Source organism: Homo sapiens, chromosome 12 (assembly GCF_000001405.40).
Source record: "Homo sapiens chromosome 12, GRCh38.p14 Primary Assembly".
Lineage (NCBI taxonomy): Eukaryota > Metazoa > Chordata > Mammalia > Primates > Hominidae > Homo > Homo sapiens.
In genome coordinates this window covers 107,596,964-107,619,959 of record NC_000012.12, presented here as the reverse complement: position 1 = coordinate 107,619,959, position 22,996 = coordinate 107,596,964, and the positions used below count along the sequence as shown (strand labels likewise).

General features: G+C 46.4%; 1 protein-coding gene across 8 annotated transcripts in view, besides 3 other annotated features; it reads right to left on the bottom strand.

Annotated features, from left to right (window-relative positions):
• Window positions 1-22,996, bottom strand: part of ABTB3 (ankyrin repeat and BTB domain containing 3) — a 341,209-nt gene that overhangs the window by 39,683 nt on the left and 278,530 nt on the right. For 6 of the 8 annotated variants that reach the window (NM_001018072.2, XM_047428301.1, XM_011537910.4 and 3 more), the window contains 6 exons: window positions 9,605-9,770; window positions 7,091-7,180; window positions 4,798-4,899; window positions 2,778-2,871; window positions 2,524-2,659; window positions 1,582-1,802 (listed from right to left, as the gene is read on the bottom strand). In NM_001018072.2, the coding sequence (NP_001018082.1) occupies window positions 1,582-1,802; window positions 2,524-2,659; window positions 2,778-2,871; window positions 4,798-4,899; window positions 7,091-7,180; window positions 9,605-9,770 (809 nt within the window). The remainder of the gene's footprint in view (window positions 1-1,581; window positions 1,803-2,523; window positions 2,660-2,777; window positions 2,872-4,797; window positions 4,900-7,090; window positions 7,181-9,604; window positions 9,771-22,996) is intronic. The other 2 variants (NM_001347943.2, NM_001347944.1) reach the window with 1 other exon arrangement.
• Window positions 1,133-1,632: an enhancer, noted in NCBI's record as "H3K4me1 hESC enhancer chr12:108012105-108012604 (GRCh37/hg19 assembly coordinates)". NCBI's record gives its function as "activates a minimal SCP1, AML or CMV promoter by ChIP-STARR-seq in primed H9 embryonic stem cells {active_cell/tissue: H9 hESC(primed)}" and the evidence as "EXISTENCE:reporter gene assay evidence [ECO:0000049][PMID:30033119]".
• Window positions 1,633-2,134: an enhancer, noted in NCBI's record as "H3K4me1 hESC enhancer chr12:108011603-108012104 (GRCh37/hg19 assembly coordinates)". NCBI's record gives its function as "activates a minimal SCP1, AML or CMV promoter by ChIP-STARR-seq in primed H9 embryonic stem cells {active_cell/tissue: H9 hESC(primed)}" and the evidence as "EXISTENCE:reporter gene assay evidence [ECO:0000049][PMID:30033119]".
• Window positions 9,681-10,181: an enhancer, noted in NCBI's record as "OCT4-NANOG-H3K4me1 hESC enhancer chr12:108003556-108004056 (GRCh37/hg19 assembly coordinates)". NCBI's record gives its function as "activates a minimal SCP1, AML or CMV promoter by ChIP-STARR-seq in primed H9 embryonic stem cells {active_cell/tissue: H9 hESC(primed)}" and the evidence as "EXISTENCE:reporter gene assay evidence [ECO:0000049][PMID:30033119]".

The window sequence follows — 22,996 nt, the reverse complement described above, 5'->3', positions numbered from 1 at the left end:
GGTGGCAGGGGAGGGGGAGAGAGAGGGGAAAGGTGGAAAACAACCAGAGGAGCAGGCGAGTTTTTATCTGGAAGTTGGCTTTTCCCCAGGACATTACTAAATGACGAGACCAAGGGATTGACTTTCAACGAACAGAACCAGTGTAGGCTTTTCCCCAAGACCTGCAAAAGTTGAAATTAAAGGTCATAATTCAATTCCCTCAGCTATGGGTGTCCATCTCTGTATGCTGCTCATATTATTAGAGGCTGCATTTCACAAGATGTAATCATCGTGTAGCATATTGGAATTATTACGCACGCTACTTATGCATATTCCATACTTCGGGATTCTGAGTGCATAGGCTCCATCCCCTCTACTTACTGGGGAAAGAAGCTCAGGGGGGAGAAGAGTCTTGCCCAGGATTAAAGAGTGGATGTGCCCAAGGATCTGGAACACATCCGTGCCCAGATGAGAGCTTAGAGTTGGTGAAACCCATTGGTGGACTTCACCATTTACAGCTCTGGCTAAGACAGATATTTATACCCGAATAAGAAGACATGGGAGGATATTCCTGCTGCTCCTCTGTGCAAAACAACATTTCCATCTGCAGGTACTTCATCAGGTCTTCCTCCTTTAACAGGGACCTCTTCAGCAGCTGACTGCTGTAATTTGCCTCTCGCCTCTCATGCAGAGGCACAGACAGAGGAGGACGTGTCTTGCTACTGTTTATAACAAGTAGCCCATTCGGAATCTCGAGCTTCATCATCATGCAAAATAGGCTCCCAGGGCAATGGCACAAACGTTCCACAGACTAACCCCTCCCCACCTTCCCTGGAGAGAGGTCATTTCCAGAACAGCATTAGGAGGCTTCTCCTCAGTCCTCAGCCTGCCTTAATCTGCCACACCCTGTGTTTAGGGACCCATGGCTAGGTCTGGCCACTTCCATGGCAGAGCGAAAGCCACTACGCTGGTGAAGGCTAGGCTAGCCTTGTTCCCCAGACACATGGAGGAGATGGCTCTGGGCTAGCTTACCCAAGGAAGAGCCAGCCCAACCTTCCTGAGAGTGGCTTTGCCCTCTGAAGCTCAACAGGAGTTGTGGTAAGAAAGGGGCGCCCTCACCCTAACAACTGCCCAGCACTGCTTCGTGGAGTTGGGTGCTCTAAAGGCAGTGATTCCTCAACCACTGGGAACCACCTGGGATGATTGTTAAATATAAAGATTTCCAGCCTTTATCCATCCAGACCCTCGACAGCAGAGCCTCTGGGTGTAGGGCCTGGCAACTGGTATTCAGACAAGCTCCCCAGGTGATTTGAATTCCTGCCCCAGGGTTCAGTGTTTGGGAATCATGGAAAGATGGTCTGAGGATGGGTCTTTGGGGCAGGCAGGATGCTGCTATCTATGGGCACGGAGTGGGCATCTTGGCCTGGAAGTGTTTCAACTGGTAAAGGGGAAGCTCCCTGGGTCCCCTTGTGTGTGTGTGCACGTGTGTGTGCATGTGCGTGTTTTGCATGTGTATGTGTGCGCGCATGTGCGTGTTCATGTGTGTGTGGACCTAAAGCTGGGGGCACCATGGTGCCCGTGGTGGAGGGTGCCCAGACTGACCTATGCTCCTGATATCAATTGTGACATCCACGTAGCCATGCTCAGCGCTGTGATACATGGCCTCCCTCAGGGCCCTCAGTTTGGCCTTGCTGTTGCGGCTGGCGCACAAGGGGGGCGGGGCTGTCTCCGCCAGGTCAGTCCCCTCGGCCAGAATCTCCTCCAGGGACAGGATATCACTCTTCTCCTTCTCTGGCTGGGCGAGCAGTTTGCGGAACACATTCCTGTCAATCATAAACCCAGAGAGGATGACACTCAGAGATGGAAGTGGATCTGCTGGGGCAGGGCAGGGGCAGGCTGGGGAAGCAGGGGACCACTAGCTTGGGAGGGGTGATGACAAGATCAATGGGTGGCACTTTCAGAGGCCTAACAGTGGGTGCCACATTTTGGGGATGGAGGAGATGATGGGGCATGACTGGCCTTGTTTCCTTGAGGCAACTTGGAGCTAAGTGATTTCCTCAAAAATCTAGAAGGCTCTAGAACTCTGCACTTGTCACCGTCAGCCTGCCCTCTCTCCAAAGTGAATGTGCTCTGCTTGGGGTTATGTGTAATAAAAGCTGATGATCAGAGGGGAAATTCAGAAGGAGATGTAGAAGGGAAGTCACCAAATATGAAAGGTTTTATTATTTTTTAAATGGATTTTTCTTACTTCATGACAGCTGACATGACGTGCCCTGAGCAAAACCGACCAAGAGTGATGTCTCTCTGTGAGTTTAAAGCTGGCCAGGAGCAGGTAAAATAAAGCATTCTGAGTGGATGTGCACTGCATGGAGTTGGCTGTCAGCTGGCAGGTAGGGTCGCTCTGGCCAGACCTGGGGCCTGGACCACTTCACACTGCCTCTGGGCCCCACATCCAGAGAGACAATGGGTCTGGGGTAGGCCTGGGAATCTGCATTTTTAACAAACACCACTCGGGACCTCTGGCTTTGGCCCATCCTAGCCTACCTGTGTCCGTGGGCTGCAGCCTGGCTGAAAGAGTTCATATCACCCTGGGGGGTTGTAGAAATTCCATTCCTGTACATGGTTCCTATCAGGGGATCGGCACCACGCTCCAACAGCAAACTAACCAGCTCAAAATTTCCTGCAAGCCCAGAGAAGGGGGTTTTATAAGAGAATAAAGCAAAAATATAGTCACAGGCACTTCAAGGGCCAGGGTGCACTGGAGCTCCCTGGCCAGGGTGAGAACCAGCAGCTCTTACCTACAGCAGCTGCCAGCTGGAGGGGTGTTTCCGAGTAGTTCTCCTCGCCATGCTCCACTGAGCCTTCCACCTTGGCCCCAGCATCCAGGAGGAGCTGCAGAGGAAGAGCGGCCATTGAGACGGTGAGAGGAGATACACTGTGCACAGGTGTCAGGAAAGACTGCTGGGATGGGTGAGATGCCAGCACTCCTTCCCTCCCTCTAGGTTGGTGACAGCGTGCACAGGCTGGAGGGCAACTGTACCCTGGAGGATGAACTGAGAGTCTCTCATTGCTGCTAGGCTACTCGGAATGTGTTCCATGCATAACAGCATCAGCACCACCTGGGAGCTTGTGGGAAATGGTGACTCTCAGGCCCCACCCAGGTCTACTGAATGAGAGTCTGCATTTTAACAAGATCTCCAGGAGATGTATACATATATAAACATTTCTAGAAGCACTGGGCTAAAGGTTCTTGGCACAGGAATGCTGGAAGACTCCCCTCCTGGGCTGGTTACACAAAGCCTCAGAGGGCACTAGGGTAGCCTCGTAGAACCACAGACTCTCAAGAGTTCTGAAGGACTTTGGGGGTCTCCCGGGGCCCCACCTGGATGGCCCTGAGGACAGTTTAGCAAATGCTAAGGTTTCTGGACAGCAAGATCAGTTAATAAAGTGGCAGAGTGAGCTTCCAGAAGTTTTGCTTCATAAGACTTCATTCTGTGCATCCCCTGAGATAGCTGGGCTTCCTAAAGAGGTAGGGATGCTGTCCATGCCTGGTCTCATTCACAGTGAATGTGCTGTCAGCACTGCTGATGGAAAATGGGGGAAAAATCTGCTATCTTTACTGCCTACCTAGGGCTCCCTGAGGGCACGGCCATGGGGGAGCCACCTACTTGGCACTCCGTGATCGCTGGCCCTGCGGCAGGGTGGTTGCCTGACTTCTGTGTGGCTTTGCTTGGCTGCTTACTGTTCCCATTCCTGATTTAAAGGTCGGGAATGTCCTTGCATGTTAAGGAATGACATCTGTGTCCACCAGACCACCAACCGACCCCTTCTTTCTTAGTTTCCTCTACCAGGAGTGGACTGGGCATACTGTTCTATAGGCAGAAGCCAGCTCTCAGTGTGACATGTCACACTGTGAGCCTCCTGAAACATGACTTGGGATCTGTTCTAAGGATTCTCATGACCCAGGAAACAACAAAGGATTCCCATGAAATTCCAGCATTGCAGAGCTGTCCCTGCTCTGCATGGAATCAAGAGGCATGGACCACACAAAAGGAGGTGAGTTCCTGATGTGCCCAACCTCAGCACTCACTACAGGACCAGGTGCAGTCATGAACTTGGATGCTGATCTCTCTTTTCTGATGAAGTAAAGATCAAGCTTATGATTTAGAATGTACCGTATGGCTGTTCACTGAACACCAACTCTACAACAGCCAGAAAAAGTACAAGCAATACATATTTATATGCCCAAAGGACCTCCAATGAGGACATGTCACTGTGCTTGGAGCTGTTTCAGAAGACACATGGCCAAGGCCCTACTCTAGACCTCCTGGACCTGATTCTCAAGAAGTGGGATCCAAGCAAGTGTCTTTTGGAAACACTCCCTTGATGTCTTGGATGCTTCTTCCCACTGGCTGGAAACCAATGGATTCTACACAAACACCAGGGGTCACACCTAAGGGAAGGTTCTAAGGTATCAATAGCAACCAAATCTCATGTTCATGTTGCGACAAGCAAAATGAACAAATCCACAAAAATAGCTGAAGCCCCACCCCAGAGCAACCAGGAAGAACTTCATGGGTCTGTCACTCTGTGTGTGAGGCTGTGTGTGGATATGTGATCATTTCATATTGGTTAAAGCCTGGCCATATAGATCATTACATATAATATTTGTATTCACATGATATGAATATACTATATTGAATTGCAGTTAACCAATATGAATGTCTTAGAGAATATGCATGCTGGGAGAGGTATAGATGTGTGTTATGGAAGAGGTAAAATCAAAAGTCAGATGTGGATAGGGAAATACGTTAATACCTGAACTACAGGAATATGTCCATGCAACACAGCAAAAGTCAGAGCCGTCCAATGGCGGGTCTCGGGGTGGACGGATGGATATTTATGAGGAGTACTGACAACCTATAAACAAATTGAAGTTATTTTCAAAATGTGACCTTCACAATACTTAGGCTAGCAAATTTGACGTATCTGTGGCTGGGCACATGGGCTAGAGATGGACAAAAAGACATCCTGGAAGATGCCTCGGGAAGAGCTGGTGATACAGGGCAGGGATTTTCCACTGCTGGATGCTCCAAACACCTCTCACCAAAGCCGTGGATCTGTCCTGCTTGTGTTTGTAAGAACAGAGACCAAAGCAATCCCCCAAAGGCAGGACAATGGAAGTCCGTGTTTTGGAGATTTTACCCTTGAAGGCAGTGAGAAAATGTCTCAGTGACTTTATGTCCTTTGTGCATAAGAAGGACTCCTTCACTTCTCCTCTGAAAGGAAGTAATGGATGATTCTGATCGCCTCTCAGGTGCTTTGAAGAAGCTGTAATGGCAGTTACAATGAGCTAGCTTTCTGGCCTGTCCCCTTCTTCCTTCTACCTAGCAGAGGGTGGTGGTTCTGGGAGCTACAGGATGTCAGAGAGCATGAGATGCCACTACCATGCCATCCACACTTTTAAGAGAGATTCTCAGTGGTGGCAAACCCCAGGCAAGGGACTGTCTGCTTTCAGCTTTCAAGCCAGGGAAGTCCATCACTCATCTGATGGAGGAATTTCACCATCTGATCACAGCTGGCCCCACCCTGTTCTCATTTCACTCTTCTGCTGGCTTCCTGGTTGACAAGGACCCTCTTGCACTACCGAAATATGGGCACAAAGCTTTCCCAGGACGCATCATGAATGAACAATCTGAGATTGGTCTTTCAGGATGGAGGCCTAAAAACACTCCAGGCCAAGAGAGAAGAGACAGGGCAGCTGAAGGCCAGGGTCTTGCAAGATCAGCACCCACATGGAGCTTTTCTCCCAAACACTCCTGGGGTCATGTAACCTCAATGCCTGCTTCACTCAGAGCAGTTTGGTTCACTAAGCATCCACTGGAGGAAGGCCTGAGCTGAGATCCGTGGGATGGGCTAGAGAGGACCCGAGAATGCTCCAGAACCCAATGCTGAGGACCCCTTGCGTGGGTCTGCATGGTGCTTAAGGATTCATAGCAGGAGGGAAAATCCCCACAGATTCCAAATTTATAGGATCCAAAATGATTCTGGATCCAAAACTGTGTCTATTGTCTGCTTTCCTCAGATAAATATAAAACTCACATTAAAAAAACACACACACACAGTACTGAGACTGCACGGGCATCTAATTTTGAACTGAAAAGGTTTCCCAGGGTTGCCGAGTTATGATTTCAGCCCGTCAATCTCTTTGCTGTCTGATACTGCCAATATCCTGCCGCCAGGGAGAGCAGGTCTTCAGGCAGCATAGAACATGGTAAAAAAGTGATATTTCACCTATGACGAGGTTGGGGTGTGGGTGGAGGGACCAATATTAACTGAGTTCCAAACCTACTCTCTATATCCCTTCTGACAACTATATGAGATGGGTGCAATTATTTTCCCGTTCTGCAGATTGGGAGAGAAAAAAGGTTAAGGCACTTGCCCAAGCACAAAAGCAAGTCACCATGGCAGCGGTGGTATCAGAACTTGAACCCAAATCTGTCAGATTCTAAGGCCAATGTTGCAAGGGGGAGGGGAGGGTTTCTGGGGGGACATGCTTTCCACCAGACCACATTGTCTCAGGGAAGCTCTGAGATTAGCTTTAAGATCTGTCAACTCAGGCAACAAGGTGAGCCAAAGAGGGTTTGGAGGGGGAGCGTGGAGGATCTGCGGGAGGAAGACTTCAGCTTAGGGATTGAGCCAGTGCCTCCTTTGCTGTGTGTTAAGTGGAAAGAGAGGGCTGATGGCTCAGGAGTGCTCCTTCTGCCCCATCCTAGAAGAAATTGATCAGCCGTGGGAATCAGGAACTCTGGAAATCAGGACTGCCGAGCCAAGGAAAAGCCAGTGCTCCTTGCAGCTATGTTGGTTGTTTTTAAACATAACATACATGCAGGCAGCTCCTTGGGGTTTGGTTGGGCTGGGGGCCTCAGGATGGACAAAATCTGTCAGGTGGTCTCACCAGGGCCACAGCAACTAAAAGGACACAGGAAAGAGCTATCTGTTGCACTGTGCACCCTCAGTGGCAGCTCTTGGGAGAAAAAGCCCCCCTTTCTTGCTCGCTTTCCCCTGGGGACTGCCGGCCGAGGGGCCCTGCTGGCCTCTGCACCCTCACCTCCACATTCAGGTCAGCTCCGGCATCCAGCAGCATCTGAACCATCGCCTCGTCCCCACGGACGCAGGCATACATCAGGGGAGTCATGCCCTGTGGTGAGTTAAAAACCAGAGAACGGAAAACGTTTACAAGGTGGCTGTGGTCAATCGACAATAACAAATGGAGAATCTTACTTGTGTTTCGGAGGCCATGCTTGTGCTCCGGCATGACAAAAATAAACGTGCAGCCCTGTGACTCGTAAGGTCACAACCCTCCACATGTGGAAACCAAAATAGAGGCGACGAAGGAGCCTCCTCGGCCTTTTCAGCATTTATCTTTCCTTGCCTTGGAGGATTTTCGTTCGTTTGTCTGTCTTAGGGTGCAACAGACCTAAGGGTGTTTGCTAAACACTTAAAGCTCTTAGGAACTTTCTAGATTGATTCTGCAATATCAGCCCTAAGCTATCTCATTGGTAAACACCATTTATCTGACATTTTCTCTTTCACAATATAACAGTGTCATCTTTGCTCTATAAAAGCTGCTGGTCAGCATCAAGGAAATTGAATGCTTCTGAGCATGTGGCGTTGCCCATCATTGACATCTGGTTTGACATGGTCATTTGCAAGCAAAAGGCAAGCAAATGAGGAACGGCCTTCAGGAATACCAGATGCACCAATGACTCTTGCTTCTATAAACGAAGCATCTCAACCAACAGAAGGAAAGGATGGATTTTCAATAACCAGTGTCACAAAGTCGGTTATTTGGGAAAACATCCAAATTAGAGACTTTTCTCACACCACACATCAAAATCATTTCTAGTTTGATTAGAGATATACAGGAAAAATTAAAACCATAAAAGATATCTAACTGGTTTGTGAATCTATTTCTAGGCATAAAAGGAATGGAAGAAATCACAAATGAAAAACATTACAGCCTTGGGGACATATAATTGAAAACATTATAAGCAAAATCAAAAGGTAAACAATGAATTGAGGCATATTTATCACATTATAACAAAGGATTATGTGCCTAATATGTAAACAGCACTCCTGAATAAAGAAGAAAAACAGTAAAGCTCTAATGGAAAACAGGCAAAAGATAAGCAGAAGAGTAATAGTAAACACACATATAGCTGGAGGGTGTGTAAAAGGAAACAAAAGTTCTGGGAAAGTAATTTAAGATTGAGAACCTTAAGAAAAGCTGGTGTGTTTGAGCCACTATTTGCATTTTAAAAATTTCCCTAATGAAATAATCACAGATTTGAACAAACACTCGTGTAAATACGTTTAGCTTAGCATTATTAATAAAAGTAATTTGAAACAACCTAAATTTCCAACAATTGACGCCTGGTCAGTGAATAAATAATAATGACCATTTTGCATAGCCATTAGAAGTGATTTTTAAAAAAGACACTGGGCCCAGTGGCTCATGCCTGTAATCCCAGCATTTTGGGAGGCCAAAGTGGGAAGATTCCTTGAGGCCAAGAGTTCAAGACAAGCCTGGGCAGTGTAGCAAGACCCTGTCTCTATAAAAAATATAAAAATAAGCAGGGTGTGGTGGTGCACACCTGTAGTCCCAGCTCCTCAGGAGGCTGAGGCAGGAGGATCTCTTGAGCCTAAGAGTTCAAGGCCAGCCTGGACAACATAATGGGATCTCATCTCTTAAAAAAAAAGAATATTCAACAATATTGCAAAGTAACTTTAATATAAAATATTGAAAAAGGCAAGGTGTAATAAATCACTGGGGTTTTAAAAAGAATATAAATATACATGTATGTCTGTGTTTGTGTGTGTGTGTATTAGAGCTCCTTGGTGTTGCTCAATAAAATTATTATAGCTGTAGTTAAATAAATAGTCCCTGTCATTCCCTCTCTGGAACTCACTGCATGAGCTGCCATGTGAGAAGCAGCCCCATCTGTCCCTTGTGACTTTCCATGTGAGACTTGCATTTATAACTGCTGTTTGTTTTCTCTGTCCATGACGGTTCACCACACAAGGTATCTCCCTGACTGCTGGGCCCACATGTCTCTCACTGTACCTCAGTTTCAGGAGTTAGGGGGGATAGCTGCCTATCTCTGAGTCGCCTCCTAGGGTCCCCAGAATGACTTTTGTGTATCTTAAACATATCCTAAAAGTTTGATGAAGTCTGTCTGGGCTTGTCCTGTGCAGGAACAGACAGACAAGCAGAGAACTAATTTTAACCACGATGGAAGAAGGACTTGAAGGACAGATACTAAATATAAATGATGGTTACACGGTGATGGCATTATTTCCTTTCTGGAATGGGCCTGTTTTTCCTCTCTTTTCCATTTCAGCTGCAATGATCATGTGCTACTTCTATAAAGATGAACCACAGTATTTTTATAAGATATTTTAAAAACTGAAGAAAAACACAAGCAAGCAAGCAATCTAAGCCGTCAGTAGGGGGAGCCTCTGCCCAGCGCCTGCAGAGGGGATTCACCGGCTGTCTCTGTCTTGCCAGGGGTGATGCACATGGAGGAGGTGGGGAGCCTGTTCAGACCCTCGGACCCTGTACCTGTTCGCTCATGGTGTTGATCCCATCGGGCCCCAGCAGAGACACTGCCTGCTTCACCAGGTCTGTTCGTCCACAGTTCAGCATCCGGAAACCCAGGTCCTGCTTAAACTTGGCTTCGATGGCCACCGCATCCAGCTTTCGAGATGCACAAAAGCAGTCGTCGGCCCTAAGGAAGGGAAGAGACATCATGCGGGTACAGCGGCTTCCCAGAGGGGCACAGGAGCAAACTCCGCAGGAAGCACCCTGGGACATTGCATTTGCTTTTCATGTAAATTGCCTGTTCCTAGGCTCCAATTAAAATGATGGCCTCCGGATGTCTCTTGATCCTTTGTCCTTTATGACTGCTGTGAATCTGTCTAGTCTCCTGTGTGCTCCCATAGCATACTGAGCTAAGTCACATAACGACTAATACGTATTGAATATTTACTATGGACTAGGCACTCTTGCTAAGCTCTTTGCATGAATTAATTCATTGAATCCCCACATAACCCAAGAGGTAAATCCTATGACCTCTCTTTCACCCATGGGGAAACAGACACAGATAAGGGCCCTGCCCAAGGCTACACAGTGTGAAAGCAGTGGAGCTAGGATTTGAACCCAGGTGGTCTGTGTGGAGAGCTGGCCTGTTTATCTACCGTCCCCCTGTCCTGCAATCACAGGACTTAACTATTTGCCTGTTTATTTGTCGGACTGCCTGCTCTAGGCTGGGGACTTCTGAGAGCAAGGGCCTTGTCTGGTGAGCCTCTCCATCCCAGGGCCTGAGAGGGCAAAGCACATAGAGGTTAATGGGAGCTGAATGAACACAGACTGGGTGGATTCTCTGCATTCGAAACAGTCGCAGTCGCAGGACAGAGAACCGGCAAGATCAAACAGGAATATAAATGGCAAGGTGCATGGGAATTTGTCATCCAGCCAGCCCAGGGCATCAAGAAAGAGGTTAGAGAAGGGTGGGGAGGAGAATCAATGGAATCAAGAAGGTGCTACAAATTCTGCTTATAAAGGATGTTACTTCCTTCTCACAATGAACTGATCAATCAATTAATGATGAAATCAAAGCACTAAGCATTTATTGAATACCTGTTTGTGCTAAGCTCTCTTCTAGGTGCTGAAAACACAAAGTAAACATGTCACCATCCCTGCCTTGGGGCCCCACTGCCTGGAAAGGGAGAGGACACAGCCATGGGTTGTTATAATTCAATGTGGCAAATGCAAGGATTGAGGGGTCAGAGGCACGCACTGTTACAGAACACAGGCGCTGCAGGAGTGCAAGGAAGCCGCCAGGCAGAGACTAGCAGATCCAGCAAGCCTTCGTGGGGGAGATGACCACTGGGCTATCTGTGTCTTTATTTTATTTTATTTTATTTTATTTTATTTTATTTTATTTTATATTTTATTTTATATTTTATTTTATTTATTTTATTTTATTTTATTTTATTTTATTTTATTTTATTTTATTTTATTTATTTTATTTTATTTTAAATTTTTGAGGCAGGGTCTTGCTCTGTCGCCCAGGCTAGAATGCAGTGGTGCAATCATAGCTCACTGCAGCCTCAGACTCCTGGGCTCAAGTGATCTTCCTGCCTTACTTACCCCAGTAGCTGAGACTACGGGGATGCACCACCACACCCAGCTCATCAAAAAAAATTTTTGTAAAGACAGGGTCTTGTTATGTTGCCCAGGCTGCTCTCGAACTCCTGGCCTCAAGCAATTCTCCCGCCTTGGCCTTTCAAAGTGCTGGAATTACAAGCATGAGCAACTGCACCTGGCTTGTGTCTTAACTCAGAAGATAGGAGATGAGAGAGCAGAAAAGCTTTGAGCAGGGCCAGTATGAGCAAAAGTATGGTGTTGAGACACACAGGTTGTGTGAGGGTAAACATGGAGGTTTCACTGTTTCTGGGGCATAAACTTCTAGGCAGAAGCTGAGGTAAGCAGGGCCTAGAGGACCTGTGACGTAGTCCTTAAGGCTTCAAACTTTATCCTTAAAAGCCGTGAGAGGAGTGATATGGTTGGATGGCCAGCCCTATGAGAGGACGGAGGGTGGGCCTGAGCCAACCCTAGAGGCCGGGAGATGTGATAGAGCCAACTGAACCAGCTGAGTGGACAGAAACCACTGCCAAAGTGTGAAGTGACGAGGGGCTGAGTTGAGACGGTGGCTACTGGGATGGAGCAGAGGGCGTGGACTCTGACTTCTCCATGTGTGCCTGTCCGCCTCAGATATGCACCACCCTTGCCCAGAGGCAGGTGTGTCAGCCAGAGTCAGAGCTGTCCCAGGCCCCTCACACTCCCCCTGCTTGCTGACTCCGAGGGCGGGAACTAAGGGGAGGAGCCAGGTGTTCGAGATTCCTGGTTCTGTTCCTGCCTCTAATGAACCCACTTTGTGGTGGAAGTAAGGGTGAAATTTGTGAGGAACGAGAGGGGGCCATTGTCCCAGGTTTATGGCGCTGAGACTCCTCAGTAGCTGAGGAGTGAACGACCACAAGAGCCCCAAGAAGTGGATGCGACGTGTGTGCCCCTGGCCTGTCCCTCATCACTCATCTGACACATCACTCATATTTGCGGAGGAGCCTTGGTCTGAAAACTATTCCGGAATGGGAATCCAGGGGTAGGAGATGCTTTGGCTCTAGATGCAAGACATGAAGCGTTTGCTTCTGGCCACCAGGGGGAGCTGCTGGGACGCAGACGGACTCCAAGGACTGGAGCCAGAAGCCTGGTGTTGCCATGAGGGGTCTGATCTGCACACCTGTCTCAGGACCTAAACGTCAGGCCAGGCCTCCAAGGGCCTATTTGCAGGAGAGCCCTGGGAGGGACAATAAAAGGTACTTAGGGGCCCAGAGTTGATCAGAATCTGGACTCCAGGATTAAGGCCTTTTCATGGCAGGTGGGAAAGTCAAGAACACCCCAACGCTGTTGGAAGGCTCCCCAGGGAAGACAGAGGGCTACCCCGGCAGTGGGGGAGAGCTGGCTGGAGGACCGGAGCCTGACTTCAGTCTATGGCATCAGCATCCGAGACCTGAGCTTCTAGGGCACAGAACGTGGCTGAGCCATAGAACTTCTTGGCACACCTCATGGGGGCCTTGAACATGGCTCTCCTACAGCTAGGGTTACCAGATTTAGCAAATAAAAATACTTGAGAAATATTTCATGGGACACACTTATACTAAAAACATTATCCATTGTTTATCTGAAACTGAAATTTAACTGGGTGTCTTGACTTTTATCTGGGAGAGGCCAGAGACTAGGGGCCCTGAAAGAACACAAGGGGAAACCATGGATCCTTCCAGAATGTAAACACAGCATCTATCTCCAGGGGAGGAGGGGGGACCCCTTGCTGCAGCTGTGGGCTTCATCCAAGGGACCAATGATCCCTAAACAATGGGTAAGGAAGGAGATTCAGGCAAAATGAACATGACAGAGGGAGGCGGGCCAGAGTAAGAGAGCAAGGTCACAGAGCACACATCACAGAGGCTTCCGGGAGAGGTGCGCACGGGTCTGGGTGTATCGTGGTGAAAAGTCTGCACCCTTGATTGGGGTTGTGTGTGTGCAAATCTCAGGGAGGTATCAGATTTGACTCACTATAGAGAAAATCTTTCTTCTCACATACCACTATCCAATTCTGGAAGAGGCTCCTTTGTGAAAGCAAGACCTCCTTTCTTGGGAGCAAAGATGCTATAAATTATTGTCACAGAAAGACACCCATTGGAGTTTCTTCTTTTTTGTCTAAGTTCCTTCTGATATCCTTCATGCTTGATGGATTCAATCAAATATGCATTTTTGCATGAAAAATATGCATTCTTTATTCCGTATGACTGGATAAACGTTATTGGGCACCTACGGTATGCTGGGCCCCACACTACGGGGCTACAAAGGTGGGAGACACAGACCCTGTGTTCACAGAGCTCACAGACTCGTAAATGAATAATTGCAAGAACATCAGGAGATGTGTTTACCAGCTATCGAGGTACTTGATTTTAATTAGAAAGAGACAAATGGCAAGAAAATTACCGTAGCTAAGATGATGATAATTGTTATTACAGGAAGCTGACATTTACTGAATTCTCACTATTGAAATGTAAGCTCTTTCTATGTATGAACTCAAACCATCACAACAAGTCCTGATGTAGGTAGGAGCTGCTGGAAGCCCCACTCCACAGATGAGGAAACTTTAAGAAAACTGTCCAAGTCACAGAGCTGGTAAGTGGTGAGCCAGGTTTTGACCTGACCCCCCATCCTGCCCTCTTCAGTGGGACCTGGCCCTCTCCCTCCACCATGCCTATGACTCCACACATATAGCTGCCTACTTGAGCTCAGCTATGGATGGCTCTCAGACCCTCAAATTTAGCAGGTCCCAAATGGAACTTTTCATTAACACACCTATCCCCTCCCTCTAAACTTGTCCCTCAGTCATCCCATCTCAGTAAACAGCACCACTGTCCACCCAGGTACTAAGGCCAGAACCTTTTCTCATGCCCATATCCATTCCATTAGCTGTTGGTTTTGCCAATGAAATCCCAAATCCATCCACTTCTTTCCACCTCTGCTGCCCCACCTGGGTCTCAAAGACCAGCATCCATCTCTGAGATATCCAGTTACTGCCACAGCCTGCTAGCTGGTCTTCCTGCTTTCATTCTCCTCATCCAAACCAGTCTCTTACACAAGGTCAGGGTGAGTTTAAAACATAAATAGAACCATGTTATGCCCCTGCTTAAAACCTTCCACTGCCTTCCAGTGCACTGGGGATAAAGTCCAGCTCTCCAGGAGGGGCCTGCTGAGCTCTACAGGCTCCCCCTTCCCAGCTTCTCTCCCTCCTTCACTCTGCAACAGCGACTCTCCTCTTTCTTCTGACCCTTCAAGAGGCAGTGGCTTTCCTGCCTAGAGGACTCAGCTCCTGCAGTTCCCTCTCCCTGGAAGGTCCTTCCCCTGGCTCTCTGCAGGACATCTCTGACACGTCCATACAAGCCAGGGCTCTCCAGGCCAATTTTGTTTGTCTCCTCGTTAGCATTTTTCACAGTTTGTGACTATTTTATTTACTTAAAAAATGTTTGTTTCTTCCAATAGCATGCCAGCCTCCGAGGGGCAGGACCACATCTATCTTGTTGTCTATTGTATACCCATCAGTGCCTGACACACACTGTGCCAATGGATAGGTGAGCCATGAATGATCTACCATTCATTCTTTTAAAAAAAATCAATTACATTTTAATTAACCATTAAGCATGGTGTGTATTTATGGTGCACCACATGAATACACTGTGGTATGGCTAAATCAAACTAATTACCATATGCATTACTTACCTCACATACTTATTTATTTATGGTGAGATTGCATGGTGTTTTTCTTTCTGTGCCTGGATTATTTCACGTAACATAATGTCCTCCAGGTTTATTGACTTTGTCACAAATGACAGGATTTCCTTCTTTTTTTTAAGACTGAATAGTAATTCCACTGTGTACATATACCACATTTTCTTTATCCATTCATCTGTTGATAGGCAGGTTGATTCCATATTTTGGCAATTGTGAACAGTGCTGCAATAAACACAGGAGTGTGGATATCTCTCTGATATACTGATTTCATTTCCTTTGGATATATAGCCAGTGATGGGATTCCTGGATCTTATAGTAATTCTATTTTTAATTTTTTGAGGAATTTCTGTTCTGTTTTCCATAATGGCTGTAATAATTTACATTCCCACCAGCAGTGTACAAGGGTTCCTTTTCTTGACACTCTTGCCAACACTTTTATATTTCATCTTTTTGATAACAGCCATTCTAACAGGTGTGAAGCGATATCTCATTGTAGTTTTAATTTGCATTCCCTGACAGTTAGCGATATTGAGCATTTTTTCATATACCTGTTGGCCATTTATATGTCTTCTTTTGAGAAATGACATGTTTAGGACCTTGGCTCATTATTTTTTTTTCTCTCTGTTGTCCATGCTGGAGTGCAGTGGTGCGATCTCAGCTCACTGCAGCCTCTGCCTCCCAGGTTCAAGTGACTCTCATGCCTCAGCCACCTGAGTAGCTGGGATTACAGGCATGCATCAGCATGCCCAGCTAATTTTTGTATTTTTAGTAGGGACAGAGTTTCTCTATGTTGGCCAGGCTGATCTCGAACTCGAGCTCAAGTGACCTGCCTGCTTCGGCCTCCCAAAGTGCCACCGTGCCTGGCCTTCACTCATTTTTTTTTGAGATGGAGTCTCACTCTGTCGCCCAGGCTGGAGTGCAGTGGCGTGATCTCGGCTCACTGCAAGCTCTGCCTCCTGGGTTCACGCCATTCTCCTGCCTCAGCCTCCCGAGTAGCTAGGACTACAGGTGCCCGCCACCACACCTGGCTAATTTTTTGTATTTTTAGTAGAGATGGGGTTTCACTATGTTAGCCAGGATGGTCTCGATCTCCTGACCTTGTGATCCGCCTGCCTCAGCCTCCCAAAGTGCTGGGATTACAGGCATGAGCCACCACGCCCGGCCCTCACTCATTTTTTAATCGGATAATTTCCTTACTATTGAGGTGTTTGAGTTCCTGATATATTTTGGATATTAACCCCATATCAGATGTATGATTTGCAAGTATTTTCTCCCATTCCATAAGTTGTGTCTTCACCCTGTTGATTGTTTCCTTTGCTGTGCAGAAGCTCTTTAATTTGATGCAATCCCATTTGTCTATTTTTGCTTTTGTTGCCTATACTTTTGGAGTCATCACCAAAAAAATCATTGCCCAGGCCAATGTTATGGAAATTTCCACCTGTGTTTTCTAGTGGTTTTACAGTTTCAGGTCTTACATTTTGAGCTGATTTGTGTATATGGATGCCATAAGGGTCTAATTTCATTCTTCTGCATGTGGATATCCAGTTTCCCCAAAGCCTTTTACTGAAGAGAGCGTCCTTTGCCATTGTGTGGTCTTCATTCTTGAAAGCAGGCCCCAGAAGGCATCTGTTTATCAATAATCCCTTGGTCATCCAAAATAAATAATAAATAATGGTTCTGGTTACTGAATTTTACCAGCTAAGTCAGGCAAGTGAACTAGAGCAGGTAAGAAACATTTTCCATAAAAATCTATGACAACTGTGGCTTTCTGTTCAACCCGATTTGTCAGAAATGTTTAACTCTGCAAAAAAAGTTCCTGTAGCATATCTGTAAATGTGGCTGAGAGCCCCATACAGTCTTTCCAGAAAGTTTCTGAAGGATCTCCACCACTGTAAACCAACATGTCCCTCCGTGGCCTGGACAAATAAGTGTGCCCTCTTGAGTGCCTGACTTATTTATGCAGAAATCTATTCAGCTGGTCACCTGGGGCATCACTAGAAGGCAACCAGCTTTATGGTTTTCCCTTCAAGTGGCTTTCAATGATGCAGTAAAAAATCTGATCAATTTAAGTGAGAGGGCAGCTACCGAGGTGGTCAATTTCTCTGATTCTCAAGTGCCCCAGCCCCGAGAGATAGGCTCAATATCTTCCACCACTTCAGGGACATGACTTTAGAAGGATGTTTTCCAGGAAGCCTGCAGGCCTGAGGACAGCAAGCGATGGCGTTGCTTTCTCTCTCTTGGGAAGGAGGCGGCACCGAGGCGGGGAGTTAATGCATTCTGCTGATCTCTGGATGCTTTGTGAGTGCCAAATGCAAGCTGGTCAGGCCCTGGACATCTTTATGCATTTATTATGTTTTAAAGCTAGCATAGAAATTATGAGCATAAACTCTGGTATCTCAAATCCCAAGTCTGCTATTTGGCAGTTGTGTGATCTTGGGGCCAGTTACGTAACCACTTTATTGTTCAGTTTTCTCATCTGTACACTGAACTTAGTAATACTTTCTTTACAGGATTTTGGATATGAATTAAATGAGATAATTCGTGTATAGCGCTTAGCAGAGTACTGCGCTCAGCATACAGCTCTCATTAAGTGTCAGAGATCTCCTATGATAATCATTAAATAAATTACAAAGCAAAGTGCAGACTTTGGAAAGAATATACTGTATTTGGAAGAAGCAAATACAGAGACACAGAGACTACAGTCCAAGTGCTTTTTAAGGTCTCAAATTAGATATCATATCTAACAAATACCACCAGAATCACAGTAGACCTTACCCAGTGGGGAAAGCCTGGCCCCCAGGAAGGCTGCCATCCCTGTCCAGCATGGTTTTGTGAGTGATAGCAGAGGGTGGGGAGGGAGTCAGTGCTAGATGAATGCAGTTTCTGGAATAGTTCAGAGACCCTTAGGGTGCCGTGGGCCTACCCTACCAGGCTCGTGGCCCTCCTTTTTGTCTCTGATTCCAAGGACCAATCCTGACCTCACTGTTGCTAGAAGGTAACCGGCAGCTCCCAGGTTCCCTGAGAGTTTTACTCCAGTGTAACTCTGTTAAGCCCACCCCTGAGGATCTGGGCTCGGAGGCCAGGCTGCCCGGGTTCATCCCTTGGCTGTGCCCTCACTCACCAGGCAACCTGGCACAGCTTTAATTTCATTTTGCTTTCTCATATGTAAAATGGGAACACTAATCTTATTTAACATGCTTTATTAACAAATACTTACATAGCATTCCTATTTGTCAGGCATATTGTAAGCTTTTTACAAATACGAACTTGTTTAATCCTCATAATAACCCTATGATGAAGGCACTATTATTTTAAATTTATTTCACAGATAAGGAAAATGGGGCACAGAGGGGTTAATCAACTTGCTCATTGTCACACAGCTGAGTAGGAGTCAGGATTTGAACCCAGCAGTCTGGCTCCATAGTCCATCCTGCTGATCACTCTGCATGGCCCAGTTCTTAGTGATGTGCTGCCAAACACTGGGCTGCTGCTGCTGCTTGGAAGCACAGGCTTCCAAAGGGATTCCTCATACTATGACTCTGGGATCCTGTACCACAAAAGGCCCGAGCAGCCCCAATAACCATGATCACTCATAGAAACACTACACCCTTTATTACGTGCTTATTGTGTTTCACACACGGTGCTAAATAGCCAATTTTCACCACTTCAATGGATCCTCTCTTGGGAGGAGATCATCATCATTATGCAATTCTACCAGCAAGGAAACTGAGGCGAAGGTCTGAGTGTCTGAATCCAAAGCCTTTGCCCTCACAGAGGCAGGAGAGGCTGGTGCCTAAGACCAAAATTCACATCCCAGTACTTACTTGCTAAGGGATCTTGGGCAGGTGAAAAAAACTCTCTAAGCCTCAGTCTCCCCCTCTGCAAAACAGGGAAGATGATAATAGTCTTCACTGTCTACATCTGCAATGAGGTTTAAAAGAGATAATTCTTTTGAACCACTTAGCACGGTGTGTGATGATAATAATTGCCTAATACATGGAATGCGTAATTCATTGCTATGATTTTATAATTGCAGATCCTCTCTCCAGGGATTTAATCAGGCCATCTGGACACCCCCCCACCACCATCCTTCAGCCACACAATCCTCCAATCCCAGGGCAGGTCTTTCCTTGCTGCCAAGTCCTTTTCCAATTGTTCTAGAGCCTGGTCCCTCTGATCCCAGCCCTCCCTGTGGCCTGTCACTTGCAGGGCCTCGTGAGAGCTCTGCCGTGGCTCCAGTGGCTTCTCACTTCTCTGTGCATGTGTTTCTGTTCTCATTCATCTGGGTCTCACCAGCAGGTTGGCAATCTGCAACAGAGCAAATTCCAAGGCTCCTCTCCAAGGCAGCAGCCATCTGCCTGGGGAGCTGTGTGAGAGGAAAAGTCACTTTTCCTTGCTCATATGGAAGATTCCTGAAGCCCACCATTGGAAGGTGCAGACTGAGGTGTTTGGCTGTTGTGGGGATAAATATGAGAGGATGCAGCCCCGTTCTGCTGTGTGGGCCCCTGGGAATTGTGGTTTGGGTTACACTATGGCTCCATCCAGCAGTCAGATTAGTTGTCTTGGAAGAGAGCAAAGATAATAACAATAACCAAAGGCACAGTAAACATTTACAAACAGCTTTCCCAACACACTATAGTTAATATCATAATCATGACTGGCATTTATAGACAGCTTTTCATTTGTTAAGTATTTCACATATAATAGCTCACTTAAATCTTCAAAATAATCTCATAAACTGTGGACTGTTGTGCTCATTTTACAGAAGAAAAATTGCGGCATCGAGGTTGCGTATCGGTTGCTCAAGGTCGCACAGCTTGTAGGTGATGGAGCTGGCACTCAACCCAGGCATCCTGACTCCTCAGCTCACACCTGTATCTTGCTTAAACCCTCAGGAACCCCAAAAGGTAAGCTTTCATGTCCCTGTTTTATAGATGAGGAAACAGAGACTCAGAGGAGTTACATATCTGGCCCTACAGTCACTCAGCTCCTTAGACTTCAATTTCAACCCAGATCTGTCTCATTCCAAAGTCCAGGCTCAAGTAAGACCTGTGTTTGTGGGTGAATGCCCATACTCCATCCCAGCCCATTCCGCAGAATTCAACATTACTGAATATCTACTCTGTGCCACACACTGGGGATCCAAAGAGGCCAATAGGATGTGATTTCTGCTCTGGAGAACCTCAGAGTCTCAGGGAAATACCATCACTCATTCATTCATACAGACTTTTTTTTTTGGCTTTTATTATTATTTTTAATTGGCACATAATAATTCACACATGCATATTTATTGGGCTCCAGTATCGGCCAGGCACTGGATTAGGTGCGGTAATACAACAGCAAGTGAGTCAGAGAGGGGCCCCAGCCTCACAAGGCTGTCGTGGAAAAGGAAGTTAAGTGAGCTGTTTGGCTACACAGGTAACGACATAATTGAAAATGAAGGTACCTAGCGGGGAGAAATGAAAGCACAACACTAACTCAAAATAGTAATTAAGGACCAAGTCGCCAGCCTTTCATATTCCTCTGTGTGCATAACAGAGATGGATGGTATCCAGTAGACAATAATGCTGATTTCACTTGTCTGGATACTCAGGACACCACTGAAGGGCAGCAGGGAACTGCTGGAGTTGAAATGCATGCGGACACAGCACATGTCTTTGCTGTGTTACCTTCAGCAAACTATCCCATCTGTGGCTATGCTTCCACTTTCTCATCTATTAAATGGGGAGAACAGTACATATGTGTTAAGATTTTGGTGAGGATGAAGTGAGATCATACACATGAATCTGTTTTTGTTAGGCTGAGGCACTGTTTATGAACATGCACTGAGAAAAGCGGGATGTGTAATACTCATATAGGCTAGGAATATCTAGATGACGTGGACCTAGGCAGCCATCTGAAATGCAGGAAACACTCCAGGCAGTCAACACCCCAACACCTGTTCAGGATCTCCGGGGAATTTCATGGTGGCCTTGAAACAACACCTAAACCAAGGATGGCAGACAGGGTTCAACTTGTGCATCAACTCTGATTCACAGCTATGGTTGACTGGAGGATGGTGTCAAGGGGGATTCTGAGGCCATGTCCAGACTTATCCAGGAAGGAGGAACATCCAGACCCTTGAGAACAGTTCTGAAAGCAATGGGTAATGCAGGAGCAGAGACAGGATAAGGGCCCAGATAAATGTGGTTATATCATGGCTGTATCACCCATTAGCTGTGTGACTTTGGACAAATCACATTTCTTCTAACAGCTTTAGTTTCCTTGTCTGTAAAATGGGGATGTTAGGCTAGTTAAGCTCTTGGGTACCTCCCAGCATGGACATTCCCTGAGTTTATTACATGTCTTCTGGTACTCATGTACCATTCTTTACTGTGTAATAGCTTTTCTCCCTTACTCTATCCCAACATATTAGCTTCTCTGTTTTTGCTCTTATTTCATGCGAACATTTATTCCTGTGGCCAAGAAGATCACCTGGGAAAGAAATGTGTGACAATGAATTTTAACCATCCCCACCATTGTTCTCCACTTCTTCCTCATAGTAATATAGAATCACCTGTGTCACTGAGTTTTGGCTGGGTACAGGGCCACTTAGCTAGGGAATACATTTTCCAGACTCTATGGCTGGCTATAGCCATGTGATTAAGTTCTCACCAACAAAACGTAAGTAGAAGTGGCATGGGTAACATTTGTGTCCAGTGGTGAGCTGAAGCCAGATCTTGCTGGCTTGTGAAAGCCAACTGTGTGCATCTTCCCCATCCTGTGTTCAGTGACATCTCATTGCTAACTTGAAATCAGCCATACTGGGGGTATTTACACCATGGAAATTGGCAAACACTGCAAACCACAGCTCTCACCACCCTCCTGGGACAGATGATTGTTAAACATTTACCAGCATGACACAATGTCATTTGCTTAAAAGGAAGCTCCTAGCTCTGACTTTCCCTTTGTCCCTTTCCCCAGCTGATAAGCAGACTTGCCAGTGTCCTAGCTTTGACTATGGAGGTGAGCCTAATGCTCTAGGGCAGACTCCTTAAAAGGCAACATAGTCAATAATTTAGGCTTGTAGGCCATATGGTCTCTGTTGTAATTACTCAATTCTGCTGTTAGAGCTTGAAAACAGTAAACAAATAGGTGTGGCTGTGTTCCAATAAAACTTTATTTAAAAAACAGAAGGTGACCCAGGGGCCATAGCTTGCTGACTCCTGCTTTCAAGGAATTGCAAAGCAACAAGATGAAAGGGACTTGGGTCCTCTAAAGATCTTGTGGAGAAGTCACCCCACCAGCCTGCAATGGCTGATACATTACATGACAGAGAAATACCATCTCTCTTCGTCAAGCCACTGTACTCTGGAATCACTCTGTTATGGCAGCTGGCCATCTATCTAATACATGAACTCAGAAAATACCTGCCTGCTATGGTTTGGATGTCCCCACCAAAACTAATTGAAATTTAATTGCTATTGTGGTAGTGTTTTGAGGTGGGACCTTTGGAAGGTGATTAGGTGATAAGAGCTCTGCCCTCAAGAATGGGTTAATGCTATTATCATGGGAGTGGGCTAGTTATTGCAGAGGTGAGGTCAGCTGCCATTCTCTCTGTATCGTGCACGCTCACTTGCCCTTCCGCCGTGGGATGACTCTCACCAGATGCTGGTGCTACACTCTTGGACTTTCCAGACTCTAGAACTGTGAGCCAAATAAAGCTCTTTTCTTTATAAATACCCATTCTGTGGTATTTTGTTATAGCAACAGAAAACCGATTAAGACAATGTCCATTATGGCTACTCTCTTAATAGCTCAGAATGGAAACATGTCTTTCCTGGAATGTACAGGGCCAGATCTGGCTGCTTTCTCCAATGTCCTAATTTCTGGAGCTCAAGATAAGAATGTTAGAGTCTACAGACTCAGAATATCTAGGAGAGTAGAGGTTTCATCTATGAGTCTGGTGATGCATTTATGGCCCACAGGGCATTAAAAAAGCACAACAATGTGCCCTTGAGTTTGTCTGTGGTTACACTCCAGGCTGCTCAGTAGAGTTCTAAGGGATGCACCAGGGTTGCAGGTGTCTGCTGTGTCCAGCTCTAGTTT